Source organism: Homo sapiens, chromosome 1, assembly GCF_000001405.40.
Source record: "Homo sapiens chromosome 1, GRCh38.p14 Primary Assembly".
In the NCBI taxonomy this organism is placed as follows: Eukaryota; Metazoa; Chordata; class Mammalia; order Primates; family Hominidae; genus Homo; species Homo sapiens.
In genome coordinates this window covers 8809935-8832518 of record NC_000001.11, presented here as the reverse complement: position 1 = coordinate 8832518, position 22584 = coordinate 8809935, and the positions used below count along the sequence as shown (strand labels likewise).

Genomic DNA, 22584 nt, shown 5'->3' with positions numbered 1-22584 from the left:
TGGTCTGTCACCCAGGGTGGAGTGCAGTGGCACAATCATGGCTTACTGCAGCCCTAATCTCCCTGGCTTGGGTGATCCTCTCACCTTGACCTCCAGAGTAGGCATGTGCCACCATGATTGGCTAAGTTTTGTAATTTTTTGTAGAGGCTGGGGTCTCACTATGTTGTCCAGGGTGGTCTTGAACTCCTGGGCTCAAGGGGCCCTCCCTGCCTCAGCTTCCCAAAATGCTGGGATTACGGATGTGAATTTTCTCAATTTTTGTTTGTCTGATAAAGCTTTCTTCTTTTGTTTTCTTTCTTTCTTTCTTTCTTTTTTCTGAGACAGAGACTTGCTCTGTCTTCCCGGCTGGAGTGCAGTGACTGGATCTCAGCTCACTGCAGCCTCCACTTCCCGGCTCAAGGGATCCTCCTGCCTCTGCCTCCCAAAGTGCTGCTGGGGGATTACAGACGTGAGCCACTGCACCTGGCCCTATCTAAACAAATCTAAACATTAAAAGGGTACAGTAAAAATATGGTATCTTCTGGGACAATCATCATATATGTGGTCTGTTGTTGACCAAAACGTCTTATGCAGTGTATGACTGTAGTTTCCTTTCAGGGCAGGCCTTATTAAGAACAGTGTTCTGGGCCGAGCACGGTGGCTCATGCCTGTAATCCCAGCACTTTGGGAGGCCAAGGCGGGCGGATCACTTGAGGTCAGGAGTTCAAGACCAGCCTGACCAACATAGAGGAACCCCATCTCTACTAAAAATACAAAATTAGCCAGGCGTGGAAGTTCATGCCTGTAATCCCAGCTACTTGGGAGGCTGAGGCAGGGGAATCACTTGAACCCAGGATGCGAAGTTTGCGGTGAGCCAAGATCACTCAATTGCACTCCAGCCTGGGCAAGGAGAGCAAAACTCTGTCTCAAAAGAAAAAAAAAATCCCCTGAAAAAATCAGAGTGTTCTGGGTGTATTCCAAAACGGCTGCTTTTCCTCTCCCCCTGCTGGAAGCATGAGGGGATTTTTTTCAGATCATTGTGAGAACCCAGTTGGGCTTCTGGAGGTAAAACTCAACAAAATTGCAAGAGCCCCTCTGGCAAAGAGGAGGCAGGAACAGTGATCAATTGTATCAGATAAGAATTAGCCAGCTGGACTCAGTTTAGATGATCCCAATTTTGTCGGCAACATTCAAAGCATCATAATCAGGAGCCAGTCGAACATATGCCTTTATGCCTTCTTCTCTCCATCAGGCCGAATCAGGGTGTTGGCCTTGGCCACATCCACGTCATAGAGGTTCTTCACAGCCTGTTTGACTTGGTGTTGTTGGCTTTAACATCCACAATCAACACAAGTGTGTTGTTGTCTTCCATCTTCATAGCAGACTCGGTGGTCAGTGGGAACTTGATGATGGCATAGTGGTCAAGCCTGGGAGAGAGGCAAAATGGGGTCACCTGGGCTGGGCTCGGTAGAAAGATGGGCTCTCTTTTGGAGTCCAGCTGGCTCTCCTTTTTTTTTTTTTTTTTTTTGAGACAGAGTCTCCGTTGCCCAGGCTGGGTGCAATGGCGCAATCTTGGCTCACTGCCACCTCTACCTCCCGGGTTCAGTCGATTCGATTCTCGTACCTCAGCCTCCTGAGTAGCTGGGATTACAGGCATGCGCCACCATGCCCAGCTAATTTTTGTGTTTTTAGTAGAGACGGGGTTTTTGCCATGTTGACCAGGCTGGTCAACTCCTGACCTCAAGTGATCCTCCTGCCTCGGCCTCCCAAAATGCTGGGATTATAGGTGTGAGCCACTGGCTCTTCCTTTTGATAGGAAAAGTTTTGGAGGAGAGGTTGAGTTAGAGTGAGATTGGGGTGGATTTTACAGAGAATAGGAAACAAGGAATTGGATACAGCAAATGTAGATCATTCTTTCAAAGGTGTTTTGCTGGAAAAGGGAGCAAAGAAATGGGGCAGTAGATAATGTCTAAAGCTTAGTTAAGAGAAGCCTTATTATAGGGGAATAAAAAAAACTTATGTATATTCTTTTTGTTTGTTTTTTTTTTCGAGATGGAGTTTCACTGTTGTTGCCCAGGCTGAAGTGCAATGGCACGATCTTGACTCATTGCAACCTCCGCCTCCCGGGTTCAAGCGATTCTCTTGCCTCAGCCTCCCAAGCAGCTGGGATTGCAGGCATGTGCCACCATGACCGGCTAATTTTTGTATTTTTAGTAGAGATGGGATTTCACCATGTTGGTCAGGCTGGTCTCGAACTCCTGACCTCAGGTGATCCGCCCACCTCAGCCTCCCAAACTGTTGGGATTACAGGTGTGAGCCACTGTGCCTGGCCTATCTTATGTATATTCTAATGGGAATGATCCAGCAGAGAGCAAAAAAAATAAAAAATAAAAAATAAAACCCTGATGTAGCAGAGAGAGGGGATAATTTCTGAGTGATATCCATGAGTAATCAGAGGGGACTGGATCAAGTGCACAGGCAGAGGGCTGGGCTCTAATAGCAGAGATGCTTTGTCTATAATAGTAGGCAGGAGCCCAGAGCGTGGGGATTTAGAGAATGATAGATAGGTGTGGGGAGGGGGGAGATCACACAGCTTCTCTGCTGATTGTGTCAACATTCACAGTGAACCGAAAGAAAGCCATTAACTGGAAGTGAGGGGAAGGGAGGAGGTGTTGGAGGTTTGAGCAGAAAGGAGAGGTTATAAAATAACTGCTTGGAAAATGAAGGGAGAAATTAACCTGGATAAGTGTTGTATGATTGCCAAGGGGCGTGAAGACTCCACGTGAGGTTTGTGGTTGTGAATTTGAAAGTGAAACTCGTTAGTGTGATGCCAGCCTCATTTGGCTGGACAGGTGCAGATGCCTACCAGGCAGCAAATTGGAATTATCACCAGGGTTGTGGTTTTGCCCAGGGAGTGTGAGGAAGTGAGAGGGGGAGGTTGATAAAGGTGTACACACTGGAGAGAGGACTCTGACCATGGAATCTAAACAGGGACGAAGGGGAGGAGGACATCAAGTCACTGATGATGTGATCTTAGGACTGATTCAGATTTGTCTTAGGAAGACAAGAATCTACCTCTACGGGGAGAATTCTTCACAAACACACAGATACAGACCATTATGTAGATATAATCTAGTCACAGGTTCTTGGGAAATATTTAACATTTTTGTTCGTTTGTTTGTTTTGAGACGGAGTCTCGCTCTGTCGCCCAGGCTGGAGTGCAGTGGCACGATCTCGGCTCACTGCAAGCGCCGCCTCCCAGTTTCACGCCATTCTCCTGCCTCAGCCTCCTGAGTAGCTGGGACTACAGGCGCCCGCCACCATGCCCGGCTAATTTTTTTGTATTTTTAGTAGAGACGGGGTTTCACCATGTTAGCCAGGATGGCCTTGATCTCCTGACCTCATGATCCACCTGTCTCGGCCTCCCAAAGTGCTGGGATTACAGGTGTGTACTTGGTGTTATCTTTACTCTCCTTGGGTATAGTAAGAATTTGCTACTAGTTTGAAGGTCATGGGGACTTTTTGAAAGGCTTCTTATGGGGATGTGTTTCGGGGATCATTCTTTTTATTTTTTTAGACAGTCTCGCTCTGTCACCCAGGCTGGAGTGCAATGGTGCGATCTTGTCTCGGCTCACTGCAACCTCTGCCTCCCAGGTTCAAACAATTCTCCTGCCTCAGCCTCCCAAGTAGCTGGGGTTACAGGTGCCCACCACCATGCCTGGCTAGTTTTTTGAATTTTTAGTAGAGATGGGGTTTCGCCATGTTGGCCAGACTGGTCTCAAACTCCTGACCTCAGGTGATCCACCCACCTCGGCCTGCCAAAGTGCTGGGATTACAGGCATGAGCCACTGTGCCCAGCTGTTTCGGGGGTCATTCTTATAGAATTTTTACTGATCAAGATAATGTGAACATTCTGTAACTTATGGTCTGCCCCTTCTCCCCTTCTTTTGGGTTTTCTCTGTAAGAAAGGACAAATGTCCACTGTAAAGGTGATTATTTAAAAAATAGCTGCTAAGGTTCAGTTTTACCTTTATCTTTTTTTTTTTTTTTTTTTTTTTTGAGGCAAGATCTCACTCCTGTTGTCCAAGCTGGAGTGCATTGGCAGATCTCAGCTCAGTGCAGACTCAACTTCTTGGGCTCAAACAATTCTCCTACTTCAGCCTCCCGAGTAGCTGGGACTACAGGCACACACCACCACACCCAGCTAATTTTTTGTATTTTTTTATTTTTGTTTTTGAGACAGAGTCTCGCTCTGTTGCCCAGGCTGGAGTGCAGTGGCACGATCTCAGCTCTCTGCAACCTCCGCCTCCTGGGTTTAAGTGATTCTTCTGCCTTGGCCTCCTGAGTAGCTGGGACTACAGGTGCACACCACCATGCCCAGCTATTTTTTGTGTTTTTAGTAGACAGGTTTTGCCATGTTGCCCAGGCTGGTCTCAAACTTAAGGGCTCAAAAGATCCACCCGCCTTGGCCTCTCAAAGTGATGGGATTACAGGCATGAGTTGACACTAGCGTAACTCTTATCTTTTTTTGCCACCACCCATTCCAAAAGCACATTACAGTAGTCCCACCTGTATCTGCCATTTCTCTTTCCTCGTTTTCAGTGTGCTGTGGTCAACTGTGTCTGAAAATAGGTTAGTAAAGTACAGTATAATAATTTGAGAGCAAAGGAGAGCAATCACATTCAAGTAAGTTTTCTTTTCCTTTTTGAGACAGGATCTCACTCTGTTGCCCAGGCTGGATTGTAGTGGTGTGATCATGGCAGCCTCTACCTCCTAGGCTCAAGGGATCCTCTCACCTCAGCCTCCCAAGTAGCTGGGACTACAGGCATATGCCACCAAGCCTGGATACTTTTTGTTTGTTTGTTTGTTTGAGAAAGAGTCTCACTCTGTCGCCCAGGCTGGAGTGCACTGGCCTGATCTTGGCTCACTGCAGACTCCGCCTCCCAGGTTCCAGTGATTCGCCTGCCTCAGCCTCCCAGGTGGCTGGGATTACAGTACAGGTATGCACCACCACGCCCGGCTAATTTTTGTATTTTTAGTAGAGACAGGGTTTCGCATGTTGGCCAGGCTGGACTCAAACCCCTGACCTCAGGTGATCTGCCCGTCTCGGCCTCCCAAAGTACAGGGATAACAAGCATCAGCCACTGTGCCTGGCCAATTTTTGTATTTTTGTAGATATGGGATCTCCCTGTGTTGCTCAGGCTGGTCTCGAACTTCTGGGCTCAAGTGATTCTCCTGCATCAGCCTCCCAAAATGCTGGGATTACAGGCATTAGAAGTGTGAGCCACGGTTCTTGGCCCATGTAACTTTTATTGCACTGTATTGTTTTTTGTTTTGAGACAGAGTCTTACTCTGTTGCCCAAGCAGGAGTGGAGTGGTGTGATCAGTGCTCACTGCAGCCTCAACCTCTGGAGCTCAGGTGATTCTCCCACCTCAGCCTCCCAGGTAGCTGGGACTACAGGTGTGCGTCCCCACATCTGGGTAACTTTTTGTATTTTTTGTAAAGACAGAGTCTCACTTTGTTGCCCAGGCTGGTCTCGAACTCCTGGGCTCAAAGGATCCTTGCACTTTGGCCTCCCAAAGTGCTGGGATTACGGGCGTGAGCCACCACGCCCCAGTCCTCTTGTTAATCTTTTACTGTGCTTAATTTTTTAAAAATTTTTTTCATTTTCCTTTTTTTTTTTTTTTGAGATTGAGTGTCACTCTGTCGCCCAGGCTGGAGTGTAGTGGCACGATCTCGGCTCATTGCAACCTCCACCTCCTGGGTTCAAGCGATTCTCTTGCCTCAGCCTCCTGAGTAGCTGGGATTACAGGCACGCACCACCATGCCCAGCTAATTTTTGTATTTTTAGTACAGACGGGGTTTCACCATGTTGGTCAGGCTGGTCTCGAACTCCTGACTTCATGATCCACTCCCCCACTCCTCGGCCTCCCAGAGTGTTGCGATTACAGGCGTGAGCCACTGTGCTCGGCCTACTGTGCTTAATTTATAAATTAAACTTTATCTTAGGTGTGAATGCCTAGGAAAAAGCATAGTAGAAATGGTTTACTGTCCAAGGTTTCAGGCATCCGTGGGGGTCTGGAATGTATCCCCAGCTAAGGTGATACTCTGGTATTTGTGTGACACATCAGGAGAGCTGTCACACCCCTGGGCCCATCTTCAGACAAGCTGTCCTACTGAGCCTTTGGGGAAGCAGCTCCCTGGGACAGCCTGGCTGTGCACTGACCGATGGCTGACAGCCTTCAGTGGCCAGGCCAGGGTGGGGCCTGAAAGGATGACCTGGGCCAATTAGGTTTCTTCCTCTTAGGAATTTTAACTAGGAAATACTGAAGTCATGAGGAGTTGGCAGAAGCCGCCCAAGCTGCTCAGTCATAAGCTGCGGAACAACCGGAGAGGCTGTGAGAAGCCACATGCAAGCCGCAATTACGAGGGAGGTGCAAATAGAAGAAGGCTGTGAAGTCAAGAAAAGCCACGTGGTGCAGGGTGAGGAGGCCGGGGGGTGGGAAGATGAGAACAGGGGACCAGTGACATTAACGCTGGGAAGAGAGCTGCAGTCCCGACCTTCCCGTGGCCTCACTTCTGTCTCTTCCCTTCCTGAGGTCAGATTGCTCTGCTTTGCCTGGCTTCCACGTTGGAACCTCCTCATGCTAAATCTGTACTTCAGATGTTGAGTAAGTCTCCATTCTTCACCATAAAAAGGACAGAACTCAAATGCTCTTGCTTTTTTGATTAATAGACTCTTAATTTTCGAGATGGAGTTTTGCTCGTCTTCCCCAGGCTGGAGTGCAATGGTGTGATCTCGGCTCACTGCAACCTCCACCTCCCGGGTTCAAGCAATTCTCCTGCCTCAGCCTCCCGAGTAGCTGGGATTACAGGCGCCCACCATCACGTCCAGCTACTTTTTTGTATTTTTAGTAGAGATGGGGTTTCACCATGTTGGCCAGGCTGGTCTTGAACTCCTGACCTCAGGTGATCCACCTGCCTCGCTAGGATTACGGGTGTGTAATCCCTAAGGTGCTGGGATTACAGGCGTGAGCCACCACGCCTGGCCAATAGACTTCATTTTTTAGAGCGGTTTTAGGTTCACAGCAAAATTGAGCCCAAAGGACAGAGTTCCTGTATACCCCTCACTCCCCACTGCTACCCCTGTTATTAACATCTCCTGTCAGTGTGGTCTCTTTGTTATGACTGATGAGTCAATGTTGATACAGTCTTATTCACTAAAGTCCATCGTTTATTTTATTTATTTATTTATTTTATTTTTTTGAGACGGAGTCTCGCTCTGTTGCCCAGGCTGGAGTGCAGTGGCGCGATCTCGGCTCACTGCAACCTCCGCCTCTCCAGGTTTAAGCAATTCTCTGCCTCAGCCTCTGGAGTAGCTGGGATTACAGGCGCGTGCCACCACGCCCAGCTAATTTTTTGTATTTTTAGTAGAGACGGGGTTTCATCATCTTGGCCAGGCTGGTCTTGAACTCCTGACCTCGGGATCCACCCGCCTCGGCTGCCCAAAGTGCTGGGATTACAGGCGTGAGCCACCGCGCCCAGCCTATTTATTTTTGAGACAGAGTCTTGCTTTGTTGCCCAGGCTGGAGTGTAGTGGTGCAATCTTGGCTCACTGCAACCTCTGCCTCCCAGGCTCAAGCAATTCTCCTGCCTCAGCCTCCCGGGTAGCTGGAATTACAGGCACGTGCCACCGGGCTACTTTTTTGTATTTTTAGTAGAGATGGGGTTTCACCATGTTGGCCTGCCTGGTCTAGAACTCCTGACCTCAAGTGATCTGCCTGCCTTGGCCTCCCAAAGTGCTGGGATTACAGGTATGATCCACTGCACTCAGCCTTTTTGTTTTTGGAGACAGAGTCTCCCTCTGTCGCCCAGGCTGGAGTGCAGTGGCGCAATCACAGCTCACTGCAGCCTTGAACTCCTGGGCTCAAATGATCCTCCTGCCTCTGCCTCCCTTTACAAAGTGCTGGGATTATAGGCGTGAGCCACGGCGCCTGGCCCATTCTGTGGGTTTTGACAAATGTATAGTAACATATATCCACCAATAAAGTATCATGCAGAATAATAGTTTCACTGTCCTAAAAATCTCCTGTGCTCCACCTAGTTATCCCTCCCCCTGTCAAAGCCCTCGCAACCACTAAGCCCTTTACTGCCTTTCCCAGAATATGCCTTTCCTAGACATAGTTTTGCCTTTTCCAGAATGTCAGATAGTTGGATTCATATGGTATGTAGCCTTTTCACATTGGTTTCTTCCACATGGTAATATGCCTTTAATGTTCCTTACACCTTTTCTTTATTTTTTATTTTTATTTTTAAAGATCATTACTATTTTTGTGGAGCCGGAGTCTCACCATTTTGCTCAGGCTGGTCTCTAACTCCTGGCCTCAAGAGATCCTCCTGCCTTTGGCTCTCAAAGTGCTGGGATTATAGGAGTGAGCCACCACACCCAGCACCTCCATGCCTTTTCCTGGCTTGATAGCACGTTCCTTTTTAGTGTGGAATAATACTGCATTGCATGAATGTATCACAGTTTATCTGTTCACCTAATGAAGGACATCTTGGTTGCTTCCATGTTAAAATGCTGTTTTTATTAATAAGATTTTAAAAAAGCAAATGTAGCAGAATTTATTTTATTTATTTTTTGAGATGGAGTCTCGCTTTGTGGCCCAGGCTGGAGTGCAGTGGCATGATCTCAGCTCACTGCAACCTCTGCTTCCCGGGTTCAAGCGATTCTCCTGCCTTAGGCTCCTGAGCAGCTGGGATTACAGGTGCCCACCACCATGCCCGGCTAATTTTTTGAATTTTTGTAGAGATGGGGTTTCACCATGTTGGCCAGGCTGGTCTCGAACTCCTGACCTCTGGTGATCCACCCGCCTTGGCCTCCCAAAGTGCTAGGATTACAGGCGTGAGCCACTGTGCCCAGCCATAGCAGAATTTATTCTGGAAACTGGAGTAGTAGAAGGAGATATTTGGCATTGAAAGGAATGGGAATGTGGATATTTTGAAATTAAGGTGCCTGGAAAAGCTGAACAAAGAGGAGGGAAGCACTAAAATGAGTGTCCAGGCATGTGTCACATCGACACCGGAGCGTGGATGGCGGAGGTGAATTTTTCTGTTTTTTTTTTTTTTTTTTTTTTTTTTCCGGGGTTACAGAGTTTTTCCTCTTTATTCTGTTTGTGTAGATGCCTTGGATTGAAGAAGTGAGTTTTGGTGGCTAATAGCACCTGCCACATCAATGTTATACAATTAAATTCTGGACCCCCTAAAGACAATTTTAGAATCTAAAATGTATTTTCTTTAGTGAGGAGATTTCTTCTGAGGGCCCCTTTGTGATCAATGTTAGTCTTGTTTGTTTGGTGTTTAGACAAACTAGGGTTTGTGGATAGTTCTCAACTCCCCATTATTATGCCCTTCTTATCCCTAGAAAATAACACCTTTCCTCCAAGGTAAACCTAGGTAATTTACAAGTAGATGTGGAGGAAATGTTTATTTTGAAATGCAGCTTCCCCTAGGGTGGAATTTGCTGGCTCTCTGGCTCACTCAGTTAACAGTGGACAGCTGTTTATAACAGGAAGTGTGGAATTGCATGTCTCAGTGAAATGGCAGGAAGACAGAGGGAGGAGGACTCCTAATTATCAAACTTGGAATTGGGCCAAGACAATGAAAATCAGCGTCTCCTCCCTTTAATTCTTTCACAAGCCCTAGGAGACTTTTAATAACCACAAGTGGTCAGAAGTCAGATGTTGGGTTTAGATCTCATCCAAACGGCATCCTAGTGCCCCAGACAACATGCTGTGGCTCAAAGTGCGACTCAAAGGGAAGGGCATCCCTCCCATAAATCCGACGTGGCCCAGTGAAGCAGGGTTTCTTGAGATCTATCTGTAAGTGTGTTGGTAATCAGGCCCACTTCTACCTTGGTGGAAATAAAATTCAATAGGGTCTAGAGTTGAATTGGAAATCTTTTTTTTTTTTGAGATGGAGTTTTGCTCTTGTTGCCCAACCTGGGGTGCAATGGCGCCATCGCGGCTCACTGCAACCTCCACCTTCTGGGTTTAAGTGATTCTCCTGGCTCAGCCTTCCGAGTAGCTGGGATTACAGGCATGCACCACCATGCCCGGCTAATTTTGTATTTTTAGTAGAGATGGGGTTTCACCATGTTGGTCAGGCTGGTCTCAGACTCCTGACCTCAGGTGATCTGCCCACCTCGGCCTCCCAAAGTGCTGGGATTACAGGCATGAGCCACTGTGCCCGGCCAGAATTGGAAATCTTAATTGCTAATCCACAATAAATCACAGCCAAACAAAGGAAAAGGGTTTCTGATATTTGATCCTTTGTTTTGAAAAGCTGTTTCACCTCTCTCTGTATTTGCTCACACATGTGCTCTGAAACATCAACCATTTCTCCGTTCCAATTCAGTGCAGGGACTTTCAAAGGCTACCAGGGGTTACTTACCTGGCCCAAGGGGAAAAAACTGGAGAGGGAGAAATTTCGATTTACAATAAATTATAAAGTGAAAACCCGCTGTGGGTAAATGCAAGGTGAGCTCGGAGAACTGGCAGTGGGGAAGAAAGAAGTGCTGCTGGAGGCTCAACCTGAAAAAGTGCAACGGGAGATATAGCTGAGGCTCGTTATTGGCTTATATTTGCACTACATAAACTTGGAAGCCAATTTCATAGAAAATGCCTAGAAACAAGCTTCAGTCTGCTACAAGGCCTGCTAAAGCACCCTAGTTCTGCTTAAGGCATTTTAGGGGAAAATAATTTACATGTTCTAAAGCTTGAGTACTGCTGGTGAATTATGAAGACTAGTTACCAGCTGTATGTTCAAAGAACTTGAATGGTTTTTTTTAATTATAAGAATTATCCATGCTTGATATGAAAAGAAAAAAGTCCTTGTCTCTAAAAAAAATTAAAATAAATGATTAAAAAAGTGAAACCACTAAACCACAATTTCTTAGGTTGAGTTTACTGGTGTTTATTTTATTATTATCCCCCTCAACCTATGTACACATAATGTATATTCTTTTGTCTATGCCAAATTTTTATGATTTTAAAAAATGAAATCAAAAGTATTAGAAGAACACTAAAACTTTTTCAAATCATGGATTGAAGAAGCTCTTTCTAACATGGCAGGAAATCCAGACGCCATAAAGGAAAAAACACCAATAAATTTTACTGCATAAATATTTCACATCCCTATAAGGCATAAAAACACCATAGCAATGCAAGAAACAGGCAGACTGGGGAGAAACATTTTCAACACGTATAAGCAAGGGCTAACTTCCTTTTTTTTTTTCCTTTGAGACAGGGTCTCACTCTTGTCACCAGGTTGGAATGCAGTGGCATGATCACAGCTCACTGCAGCCTCAACCTCCCAGGCTGAAGCCATCCTCCCACCTCAGCTTCCCAAATAGCCTGGACTACAGGCATGTGCCATCACACTCAGCTAATTTTTAAAATTTTTTTGTAGAGATGGGGGTCTCATTATGTTGCTCAGAGTAGTCTCAAATTCCTGGGCTCCAAAAAAAAAAAATTTCAATTAAAAAAATAAAGAAATCCACCTGTGATTTTGGGGGTGGGGTGTGTTAGGAGTAATATGAATCTAGTGGGTGTGTGTTGTTGTTTTTTGTTTCCCCATATAGCTATCTTGTTGTCCCAATATCATTTATTAAATAATCCCCATTTTCCATCTTCCTTTAATACAGCTCTGATGTGATCTCTGTATATTTAAAAAAAAATCACTTCTTACCTGTAGTAAGATACATAAAATAACTAAAAAAAGTCCTTGATATTTTCAGATTCAATAACTACTTTATTTACTTAATTCCCACTTAAAAATATTGCTGAAAAGAGAATAAGGAAACTTTTAAAAATTTAATATGGGAAAAAAATCCAAGTCGGTATTTTACGTCTTTAATCTTCAGCTAGTTCTTTAACTTCCGTAAGCCCCAGTTCCTTGACTTTTAAAATGGAGATAATAAGCCGGGAGCAGTGGCTCACGCCTGTAATCCCAGCATTTTGGGAGGCTGAGGCGGGCGGATCATCTGAGGTTGGGAGTTCGAGACCAGCCTGACCAACATGGAAAAACCCTGTCTCTACTAAAAATACAAAATTAGCTGGGCATGGTGGCACATGCCTGTAATCCCAGCTGCTCAGGAGGCTGAGGCAGGAAAATCGCTTAAACCCGGGGGTCAGAGGTTGCGGTGATCTGAGATCGCGCCATTGCACTCCAGCCTGGGCAACAAGATCGAAACTGTCTCAAAAAAAAAAAAAAAAAAAAAAAGAGATAATAATAATACACTTCATGGGGAGAAAAAGTGGGCTAAAGAATGTAACATGTTTCTTAGGGCACTGGGAACATAAGCTTTCAATCAATAGTTTAATAGTTGTTCTTAACGATGAAGATTATTTTACTGCATTATCAGCTTCTCAGATCCTTGGAAGGAGGTCCAGTACTCTCCGGCTTTATGGCTGGACCACAATTCTTTCGTGGGACTGTTACAGTTAAATGGGTTTAGTTTGCTAATTTTGTGGTCTGATACCATATATTATGCTTTGTAACTATGTGGCATTTCTGGACTTCTAAATTTACATTTTTATGGATAAATGAAAGTGACGGCCAATCCCTAATACCATAGTAAATGTTATTTCCTAACGTGGAGAGCCTCTCTCCTCCCTGCTGGATGGCAGTGCATTGTCCATTTGTCTACCACAGAGCTGAATCTTTATTAGAAATAATGCTCCTGTAAGTTTCGAGACCAGCCTGGGCAACATAGTGAACCTCCATCTCTACTAAAATTACAAAAGTTAGTTGGGTGTGGCGGCACACACCTGTAATTTCAGCTACTCAGGAGGCTGAGGCAGGAGAATCGCTTCAACCGAGGAGGTGGAGGTTGCAGTGAGCTGAGATCGTGCCACTGCACTCCAGCCTGGGCAACAGAGCGAGACTCTGTCTCAAAAAAAAAAAAAAGAAAAAAAAGAAAGAATGCTCCTGTAGATAGAGATTTTGATGGAAAGTGAAGCCATCTAACTGATATACTTTATCCCTCATCATTTCCAAACAGGAAGTCAGATAGTCCTATCCATATCTAGAATGTTGGAAGCAGTTTATTGAATTTATTAGGTTTTAAAATTCAGTTCTCACATTATCAGATATATAAAGAGATATTAACTAGTTTCCCCATTTCATAACTCCAGCAAAGAGGATTTTTCTTGCTGAAAGTTACTCAGAAATGTGATGGCAAGGATCTATGGCTTTTTTTTTTTTTTTTAAGATCTCTTGGGTCATGGTCCAATAGTATCTGTTAGTCCAAATTATTCTTTAAAGAATAATTGAATGTGGGCCGGGTGCGGTGGCTCACGCCTGTAATTCCAGCACTTTGGGAGGCTGAGGCGGGCGGATCACCTGAGGTCAGGAGTTCGAGACCAGCCTGACCAACATGGAGAAACCCCATCTCTACTAAAAATACAAAATTAGCTGGGTGTGGTGGCGCATGCCTGTAATCTCAGCTACTCGGGAAGCTGAGGCAGGAGAATCGCTTGAACTGAGGAGGCGGAGGTGGCGGTGAGCCGAGATCGCGCCATTGCACTCCAGCCTGGGCAACAAGAGTGAAACTCCCTCTCAGAAAAAAAAAAAAAATGAATAATTCAATGTGGAAATTATAATCTGAATAGATTTTCCAAGGAGAAAATTATCACTTCTTTTGAAACAGATGAGTGAATTATTTTGTGCTACGTTTTCTACCCCTTATTTTATACGGACCTTAACTCCTTCGGGAAGAGTGTATGGTATAAGGACACCAATAAGCATTTACAGAATATTAACAAACCAACAATAGGTTGATGATTCACCCTGGATTCGTGCCAGGCTCTGTGAAAGAACTCAATAAACATGATGTGCATTTCAAAAACTGCTAATCATAATTGAAATTTCCAAACCCCTCAATCCCATAAATTATATGAACTAGAATATGATCATTTGGCCTGCCCCTACTCCCTTTACAGCATGATAGACCCTGTGATTATCAGGCTTTCGGGAAGTGGGACACAATACTTCATTCTTCAAAGAAAAAGAGGTGATGTTTGGTCTTTTCCTCTTTTTAGATTTTTTTTCACACGTACCTTATAGAGTTGTACACTGCTCTTTCTAAAATCCCTTCTGTACCTGTACAGTCTCTCCTTTATGCCTTCATGACACTTTTTATTCTTTTCAAATAAGCAGTGCGACTTATCACTTTTATTTTTCTTTCTGTAATTCATCTTTTGTCATGTACACTATTTGAAAAATATTACAAGCCGCTCATCAGAATTTCGAAAGAGTCCATATGAGAATGGTTTACACCCACTCTGTAGCCCGCAGCAACATGGATCCGCGTCCTAATGACTGAAAAGGCCAATTAAGACCCGGGTAACAGCAAGATCAACCGGACTTCCCCCCACCCCACCCGGGACCTGCCCGCGCCGCCAGCCCGGCCCAGCCCGGGGGGCGCGGGGGGCGGTACTGGAGCGCGGCGGGCGGCGGAGGAGGGCCGGCCTCGCACTCTCACAAAGACGCGCCCGCGGCGGGAGCCCAGCCCACCGCCTCTGGCCGCCGCCTGCAGCGCGAGCCCTCGAGCCCCGGGCCGCGGCGTTGTCAAGGCTCGGCCTCTCTCCGCCTTCTTCTCTGCTCATTTTATTAAAAAGATTAAAAAAAAAAAAAAAAAAAAAAAAAAAAGGAAAAAGAGATCCCGCCTCCTCCGCCTCCCATTGGCCGGGCCCCCGGCCGCGTCACACCGCGCTGTACCAATGGAGGGGCGCGATACTGCGAGGTGGGCCGGGCCCGAGCGGGGAGTGGGCGGCGGGTCGGTGCAGCAGCTCCGCCGCGGCTCCGCCACCATCGCGGAGGTGCCGCTGTTCCCACAGACGCTCGCGAGCAACCCTCCGCGCTCCGGAGCCTCCTCAGCCTCCCGCACACCCCGAGACGCTCGCCCCGCTGGGCCTCGGTCCCCGCCTCCTCCCCCGTCCTTTTCCCCTCTCTCGCTCCCCACATTGTCTCTGCCTCATTTTCTCTCCTAGTTGAGGATTAAAAAAAAAAAAAAATCACCATCATCCTCAGGGAGCCCCCTCGCCCTCGGAAAACAAAACCAGACATGATCCTGGGCTCCTGCTTCTGAAAGATCTGCCCGACCGAGGAGGAGGGAGCCTAGGTTCAAGTCGCAGGAAAGGTCACGGCAGGGAAGCCCCCTCAGCCCCTCCGCGTCGCCTCCCCGCGGGCCGCCCCTCTCGGCCCTGCGCCCCGCGGCCCCGCAGCCTCCGCGCGGCCTCCCGCCCCATCCCCGCCACTTTCCCCGGAGCTGGGCCGCGAACACCTCACTATTGATGGTGTAGCGCTTTAGGGGAAGGTAAGTGTCCAACTTGCCCGCGCCGGGTCGTGTGCTTTCTTTTTTGGCCCCTCGTCCTGGTGGTCAGAGAGGGTCGGCCGTGAAAGCAGTCACTCGCCCGGGGGGAGGCAGGAAGAAAAGGCTGGGGTCGAAGCCGAAGTCGAGGGGAGTCGGGCGAGGGCAGGGCACTTCTTTGGTCCTGTCCGGGCCAGGTGACCGTTCCTGCGTGCCTTCTGACCCCTGCTCTCTCTTGGCCTCTTATTCATGCTCTTGTTCTACTTGTTTGAGGTTAAACTATTTCATGTGACTACATTATTGGCTGAAACTGGAAGGGAAGGAAGTCAAGGACTGAAACTGTAAATTTCTTGAATGTTTGTGGATTTCGGGGTGCTGGGGGGAGGACTTTATTATTAAAGTATCATTTTCTCATTGGGGGAAGATTTCCTCTTTGTGCTCCCAATCTCTAGTTCTCAGCTGTATGTGATTAGAAAATTATGAAACCCAAAGTCACTTGCAGCAGAATAGAATTCTTACTATCCTGTTTTAGTTCTGCTCTCTGAAGGAGGGTGGCTTCTATTTATTACTAATTTTTAAGATGATGGAAAGATTCGTAGTTTTACATACACGTGTGTATGTGTGTCTGCTAGGAGGGGGGAAAAGTGTTGCAGGCTTCCTTTGAAACTGGTTGCTTGAGAAGTTGTTGAAAGGAAAACAGAATGATTCATTGTTGAATTGTCATTTTCCTCTGTCTCTTTTCCAAGGTTTGCTTACAATTTTTCTGGATTACAGACTTCAAACATTGATTTAAGTAAAATGGGTCCTTGAGAAACTGGGTGCTTTAAATGTTTCAGTATCTGTTGCTTTTTTAAGGTACATTTAGAAAGTAGTTTTGTATGAATCGTGAAATAGCCTTCTTCACAGCGAATTTTTAAACGCAAAAAAAGATAACTAGTAAGAGGGTGAACTTGGTGAATTACAAAATAGACATTTTAATATAGCAGGAATTGATGCATCTAAGATTTGAAACAGTTTTCATAATTGCTTTCCATTTAAAGAGAGACCTTTTTGTCTAGTGTACACTGGTCTTTTTAGTCTCAGTCTGTTGGGGGAGGGGAGAGAAGCTGGATCTGTACAATAATAAAATCATCTTTGGGTTGATATTTTGTTCCATGGATTTGCTTGCTGAGTTAATACTACTGTAAATTATCAACCAGTTTTGATTTTGATGGCCTGGGATGGGTGGAAAGCTGGCTTCCAGCTCTCCCTGTTGTTGTTGAGGTCGAAGGGAAAAGAGGCAGAGGCAGACAGACACACATATACACACACACACACACACATACACACACACACAATACCAAGCTGAGGGCTCATTGTTCTTCCATACACACATTCATTCTCTCTCTCCCATATTTGGGACTAGGTTTGCACAGACAAACACAGCTCTTTTTGGGAGAGAAGAGAGAAGATGGGGGAAGGGAGGGTGCTTTTCTGTTACAGCTTTCTTCCACCCATCTCATGCCTGGCCGTTTTTGCAACCTTGTGAGGCAGAAGAGTGCATTGGAAACTAAAGGACACTCAAAAACATGTTCAGAGACTTCTCTTCTCTCTGCCTCCCTTTATTCCTTTTGCAGCCGTGGTTTCTGCTGCTCTTTCTTTTTTGTATATGTAAAGATAAAATCCCTCTTTATATGTTGTGGCCTTACGTTCAGCTCTCATTGCTTTTGTATTTCTCATTGACCCTGATTTTGTTGGGGACAGTGATTTGTTCACTTGAGTCTTAGTAGTGAATGTGAGCAGAGTCTTTCTAGATAGAAATAGATTTTATTGATTAATATTATAAAGGTTGTATTGAGGTTAATATTTAGCAAGATGATGTTTGCATGTTTTTAGTGGTGTGATGGTTTGATGGTCAGGTTTGCTGGCAATTGAGCTGTCAATGTTGTTTTTGTAAATAAGGGTTATAAGAAAAGATCTGGTTTTCTGTTTAGGGGGCTCCTTTGAATACTGGACAGGGAATAGGCTAGTCCACCTGGGATAAACCCAGCTGTGGCCCAAGGATGGAGGTTGGTGTGAATACATGTGGGTTGCAGAATAGCACCTTCTACTGGTTAATTGTTTGGAAAGATCCAGACGAAGAGGATGGGGGAGGGGATTAATGGCTGAGGCTTAATGATTTTCTTTTAAGCGCAGTTGTTGTGCCTTTCTGCAAATGCCACTTCCCCGAGCTGCTAATACAGATGTCCTTTGACAGGCACGGTTGCATTGAGGCATTATTATGTTACTGGTTGTGCTTCGACATTAATTTGTTCTGTTACCAGAAGTATTTACACTTTGTGACTTCCCAGGACTCCTTTGAATGATACCTTCTCATCTTTTATGAGATAATTTCTCTTGAAATATTAAACCAGAGGGTTTATTTCTGTTCCCAGTATTGGAAACTATATACACCAGCAGTCTTTTAAAAAAGTTTTTAGTATCATTAATAAAAAATCAAATAAACCTACTCTATGGAAAGTAAAATTGTAGCACTGGACAGAGGTTTTTCTTGGGATTTAAACCAGGTAGAGGGGTAGAGGAGGAGTTGAAGGAGGGAAATCTCACTAAAATCGGCAATTTTGCAAATGTAGTGGCCTTGCATTGCAGTAGTGTTGTTTTCAGTAGTCTTATAAAGTCTGATAGGGTGACTTATTGTATGGATTAGATAAAGAATTTAAAATTGGAAGCCAGAGAAAATGTGAAATGAGTGTGTACACAAATTATCATAGAAGAGGGTCAAATTGTTGCCCAAAGGCTTGTAAACTAAGGTGCAGTTTCAGAGATAATCTGCTTAATAAATGTCTCAAAGGATTTTTATTTTCACAAATCCTGGCCCATCTCAGTTGTTCTAATGTAATGAACTATTAGAGAGGTTTGCAGTGGTAAAGGGGACTGGGTGTGTAGGATAAACATCTGTTCCAGACTGACTGCTTCTAGGAATGTGACTTCTGATTCACTTTACTTTCAAAACTTCAAGAGTAATCTCTAAAGTTGTGTATCTTTTACAATGAAATGTGAACAGTTCAAATGTATTATTTTCTCAGTGGGAATGGATTCAGGGGATTTCAGTTCAATATATTCTCCATCAGTGTTTTGTCACAAGGAAACTAGAACTGAGAACCAATTCACAACAAAAAGGTAATCCAAATCAAGAAATAAAATGTACCAGTTACCTTTTCAACTTTGATTTACTGGTCAGTCGAAAAAGCTTTTAAAAAATAGGACAGTAAGGCCTAGTGCGGTGGCTCACGCCTGTAATCCCAGCACTTTGGGAGGCCAAGGCGAGTGGACCACTTGAGGTCAGGAGTTCGAGACCAGCCTGGCCAACATGGTGAAACCTCGTCTCTACTAAAAATACAAAAATTAGCCTGGCACTTTGGCGCGTGGCTGTAATCCCAGCTACTTGGGGGGCTGAGGCACGATAATTGCTTGAACTCAGAGGCAGAGGTTGCAGGGAGCTGAGATTGGCACCACTGTACTCCATCCTGGGTGACACAGCGAGACTCTGTCTAAAAAAAAAAAAAAAAAAAGGAAAAAATAGGATAGTAAACACTGTCAGGTCCTGCAATAATTATGTGTAATACTGAACAGATACTGAACAGAAATGTTCCAGGTGCTGTAAAAACACACATATAAGAATATAATCTGTGCCCTTCTAAAAACCTGTATATGCTGAATATTATCATGGATTTAGTAAGCATTCATTACTTAAAAATTAGTTTCAAATATCAGTGATCAAAAAAAATTTAAGTAGTAAAATAAGTTGGACATACCAAGTTCTTTTGAGAGTAGTATGCTTTCCTACTAAGCTACTTTTGGCAGCTACTTTTGCAGTCGATTTAAAGGTTAAGATAGCAGAAAATTCAAATGTTTAAGTGAGTCATTAGTGTAACCTAGCTGTGAACTTCGTTACACACACATACACACATCCTGAAAGAAAAGCTATTGTTTTACATAATCAGTTTCTGATAATGCTGTGCTCTAGTTAATTACGGGATTTCTTTTTTTACTACCAGGAATTCCTCTTGAATGATATTTAAGTGATTGTTGAATCATATTTGTGTGATTGGTATCCTGATAATTATTCTGAAGTTGAAGCTCTCCTTGTCCTATTTAAGTGTGATTTTGCCGAGCCTTTTGGCTTATGTTTGGTTTCTTGTCTAACAGAGTTATAGTTTGTGTGTGTGTGTGTTTTTTTTTTAAATAATGGAGGAGAAATGAGCATTTTAAATATGTGTTAGAACATTGTTAAGATTGCATAGGCCAATTTAATGAACATTTGAACACAACTCAAGTTCAAATACTAAATATATTTACTAGCTTCAAGTTTGGGTTGGAATTGTGATTTGTATAGCTAACTTGTTGGTGTGCCAAGTAATATAAGATGTACTGTGTGTCTGTACATTAGGTAACTAGGTCAGAGAGTACAGTTAATATAAGATGCTTTTTTTGGTAAAGTGGTCTGTGCCAGTGTAAAATTATTATTATTATTATTTTTCGAGATGGAGTCTTGCTCTGTCACCCAGGCTGGAGTGCGATGGCACGATCTCGGCTCACTGCAACTTTGCTTCCCAGGTTCAAGCGATTTTCCTGCCTCAGTCTCCCGAGTAGCTGGGATTACAGACATGTGCCACCACACCTGGCTAATTTTTGTATTTTTAGAAGAGACAGGGTTTTACCATGTTGGCCAGGCTGGTCTTGAACTCCTAACCTCAAGTGATCCACCTGCCTTGGCTTCCTAAAGGGCCGGGATTACAGGCGTGAGCCACTGCACACGGCATATTTTTAACTGGTAAAATTTGCCAGTATGTCAGCAAGTGTGAGCAATATATTTAACTGTGAAAATTTTCCTTATATGGTTAGTTATAAAATGATGTGGCCTCTAATTCATAAACCACTCGGTATTTGAGGAATCCTCATACCCTATTTGTCTTGGGTATTTGCATCAGAAGTCGAAGCCATGGGTTTTATCTTAATTTTAAAGTAGTTATATACATGACTTTTAAGGACTTTGGTTAGGCTGTTTTTCATTGCAAGGAACAGAAAGTCTTCCGAGTCATCTCAAGTTGGGGAAAAGTAGAACAGAAATTTAAGCCGTACGAGCCAGGCCTCACCTAAGAACAAAAACCCCAGGTCTGCAGTGCCTCATACATACTGGAATACTGTCAGGGATATGGGTCCCACCCAGCTTTAGCGACCAGATACCTTGTTGCCTCCTCAGCAGGAGGAGTTTGTGGCGCCTTACCCTAGTGCCATGGCCCTGTATATGAATGTCCAGGCTGTGTGTTGCAATAAATATACCACCCCAAAGGGGACAATATTAATGTGGTTGGCCTGGACTAACCTTAAAAGAGAGCTTGTGAGGAAGCATGGCTGTGCAGCATCTTCAGACAGTCCTGCAGCAGCAGGGCAGAGCTCCTCCTACAAAAACCCATTCTAGCTCACGCAGCCATGCACACACTTAGCAGAGCATGCACGGACACATTCATTGGCACCTGTATATGTTCCCTAGGCTCCCAGAAGTCTGATTCTTTTTTGAGAGAGGGTCTCGCTCTGTTGTTCAGGCTGGAGTGCAGTGGCATGAGCATAGCTCACTGCAGCCTTGAACTCCTGGGCTCAAGTTATCCTCCCTCCTTGGCCTCCCGAGTAGCTGGGACTGGGACTAGAGGTGTGTACCACTACACCTGGCTAATTTTTTTTTGTAGAAATCAAGTCTTGTCATGTTGCCCAGGTTGGTCTTGAAGTCCTAGGCTCAAGTGATCCTCCTACCTTGGCCACCCAAAGTCCTAGGATTACAGGTGTGAGCCACCATGCCCAGCCAAAGGTCTGATTCTTGACCTTCTTCCTGCTTCTGGGGTGGGAAGCAAGGGAGTACAGTGATGAAGGCACTCAGTGTGTGTGGGGTGAATACAGTTCAGGGGGAGTGTGAGCAGATGAGCATGTGGGCATATGTCTGTCTGTGTGAACTGCCTGGGGAGGCACTGGAAATGTTCTCTGGCAGGACCTGGCTATGCTGGGGAAGTATATCCACACAAGTGGATTCTAGGCGTGAGCCACTGCGCCTGGCGGCTATTGTTGATTTTGATAGCTTATTCTAACACCTTATTTTCCTTCAAGAGACTTCATAGTCATAACTCGTAGTCAGTTATGATCCTTTTTTTAGGTGGTATCACTTTATTACATTTGTCTTATTCTCCTTTTATTTTCTGTGACTCTGCCCGCCTACTGACTACCTGTCTACCTACCTGCCTACCCAAGTCAGTGTTTCCCGAACTGTATTTATGGCTTCCTAATATGCTGCAAGTATTTTAAGTGTGGGGTGAAATACGTTTATAATGCACATGAGCTCTTTAAAGCCTCAGAAACATTTTATACTATAGAGGGTTTTTGTTTTTCATTTTCCTCCCTTACCCCAAAGAATACCTGTTTCTTTCTCATGAGATACTCATGGGATAGATACTACTATTCTAGTTTAATAGAACACAGTTTGAGATGCACCTGTAAAATTAATTTTTTTTAATTTAAATTTAAATTTTTTGAGGAAAGGTCTTGCTCTGTCATCCAGGTTGGAGTGCAGTGGCGCAATCTCTGCTCACTGCAGCCTTGACCCCCTCGGGCTCAAATGATCCTCCTGCCTCAGCCACCTGAGTAGCTGGGACCATAGGCATGCACCATCACACCTAGCTAATTTTTGTATTTTTTATAGAGACAGAGTTTTGCCATGTTGCCCAGGCTGGTCTTGAACTTCTCAGCTGAAGTGATCTACCCACCTTGGTATCCCAAAGTGTTGGGATTACAGGCATGAGCCACTATGTCTGGATTTATTTTATTTAAAAATAACTTTAGGCCAGGCGCGGTGGCTCATGCCTGTAATCCCAGCACTTTGGGAGGCCAAGGCGGATGGGTGACCTGAGGTCAGGAATTCAAGACCAGCCTGGCAAACATGGTGAAACTTTGTCTCTACAAAAATACATTTGCTGGGCACGATGGCGGGTACCTGTAATCCCAGTACTCGGAAGGCTGAGGTGGAAGAATCGCTTGAACCCGGGAGGCGGAGGTTGCAGTGAGCTGAGATCGCTCCACTGCACTCCAGCCTGGGCGACAGAGCAAGACTCTGTCTCAAACAACAACAACAACAACAACAACAACAAAAACAAAAACAACAAACTGTGCTCAGGACACAGTGCCTGAAGTTTTTTTGGTTTGGCCA

At 45.0% G+C, this 22584-nt stretch overlaps 1 protein-coding gene and 1 pseudogene across 2 annotated transcripts in view, besides 7 other annotated features; one reads left to right on the top strand and one right to left on the bottom strand.

Moving 5' to 3' along the window:
- RPL23AP19 (ribosomal protein L23a pseudogene 19) lies at positions 1087-1406 on the bottom strand (annotated as a pseudogene).
- Positions 10356-10579: a silencer, noted in NCBI's record as "fragment chr1:8881999-8882222 (GRCh37/hg19 assembly coordinates)". NCBI's record gives its function as "represses an EF-1alpha promoter that drives an FKBP-Casp9 reporter gene in an ReSE screen in phorbol 12-myristate 13-acetate-treated (for megakaryocytic differentiation) K562 erythroleukemia cells {active_cell/tissue: K562(+PMA)}" and the evidence as "EXISTENCE:reporter gene assay evidence [ECO:0000049][PMID:32094911]".
- Positions 14342-14571: a silencer, noted in NCBI's record as "silent region_203". NCBI's record gives its function as "represses an Ori minimal core promoter by ATAC-STARR-seq in GM12878 lymphoblastoid cells {active_cell/tissue: GM12878}" and the evidence as "EXISTENCE:reporter gene assay evidence [ECO:0000049][PMID:35858748]".
- Positions 14635-14929: an enhancer, noted in NCBI's record as "tiled region #7894; HepG2 Activating DNase unmatched - State 1:Tss, and K562 Activating DNase unmatched - State 1:Tss". NCBI's record gives its function as "activates a minimal TATA promoter and a strong SV40 promoter by Sharpr-MPRA in HepG2 and K562 cells {active_cell/tissue: HepG2 | K562}" and the evidence as "EXISTENCE:reporter gene assay evidence [ECO:0000049][PMID:27701403]".
- Positions 14635-14971: a biological region, named in NCBI's record as "Sharpr-MPRA regulatory region 7894".
- Positions 14672-14971: a silencer, noted in NCBI's record as "silent region_202". NCBI's record gives its function as "represses an Ori minimal core promoter by ATAC-STARR-seq in GM12878 lymphoblastoid cells {active_cell/tissue: GM12878}" and the evidence as "EXISTENCE:reporter gene assay evidence [ECO:0000049][PMID:35858748]".
- RERE (arginine-glutamic acid dipeptide repeats) overlaps positions 14879-22584 on the top strand; it is a 465237-nt gene continuing 457531 nt past the window's right edge. For both annotated transcript variants that reach the window (NM_001042681.2, NM_012102.4), the window contains exon 1: positions 14879-15359. The gene's annotated coding sequence lies outside the window, so the exon portion shown is untranslated. The remainder of the gene's footprint in view (positions 15360-22584) is intronic.
- Positions 15222-15281: a silencer, noted in NCBI's record as "silent region_201". NCBI's record gives its function as "represses an Ori minimal core promoter by ATAC-STARR-seq in GM12878 lymphoblastoid cells {active_cell/tissue: GM12878}" and the evidence as "EXISTENCE:reporter gene assay evidence [ECO:0000049][PMID:35858748]".
- Positions 18175-18469: a silencer, noted in NCBI's record as "tiled region #4622; HepG2 Repressive non-DNase unmatched - State 3:PromF". NCBI's record gives its function as "represses a minimal TATA promoter and a strong SV40 promoter by Sharpr-MPRA in HepG2 cells {active_cell/tissue: HepG2}" and the evidence as "EXISTENCE:reporter gene assay evidence [ECO:0000049][PMID:27701403]".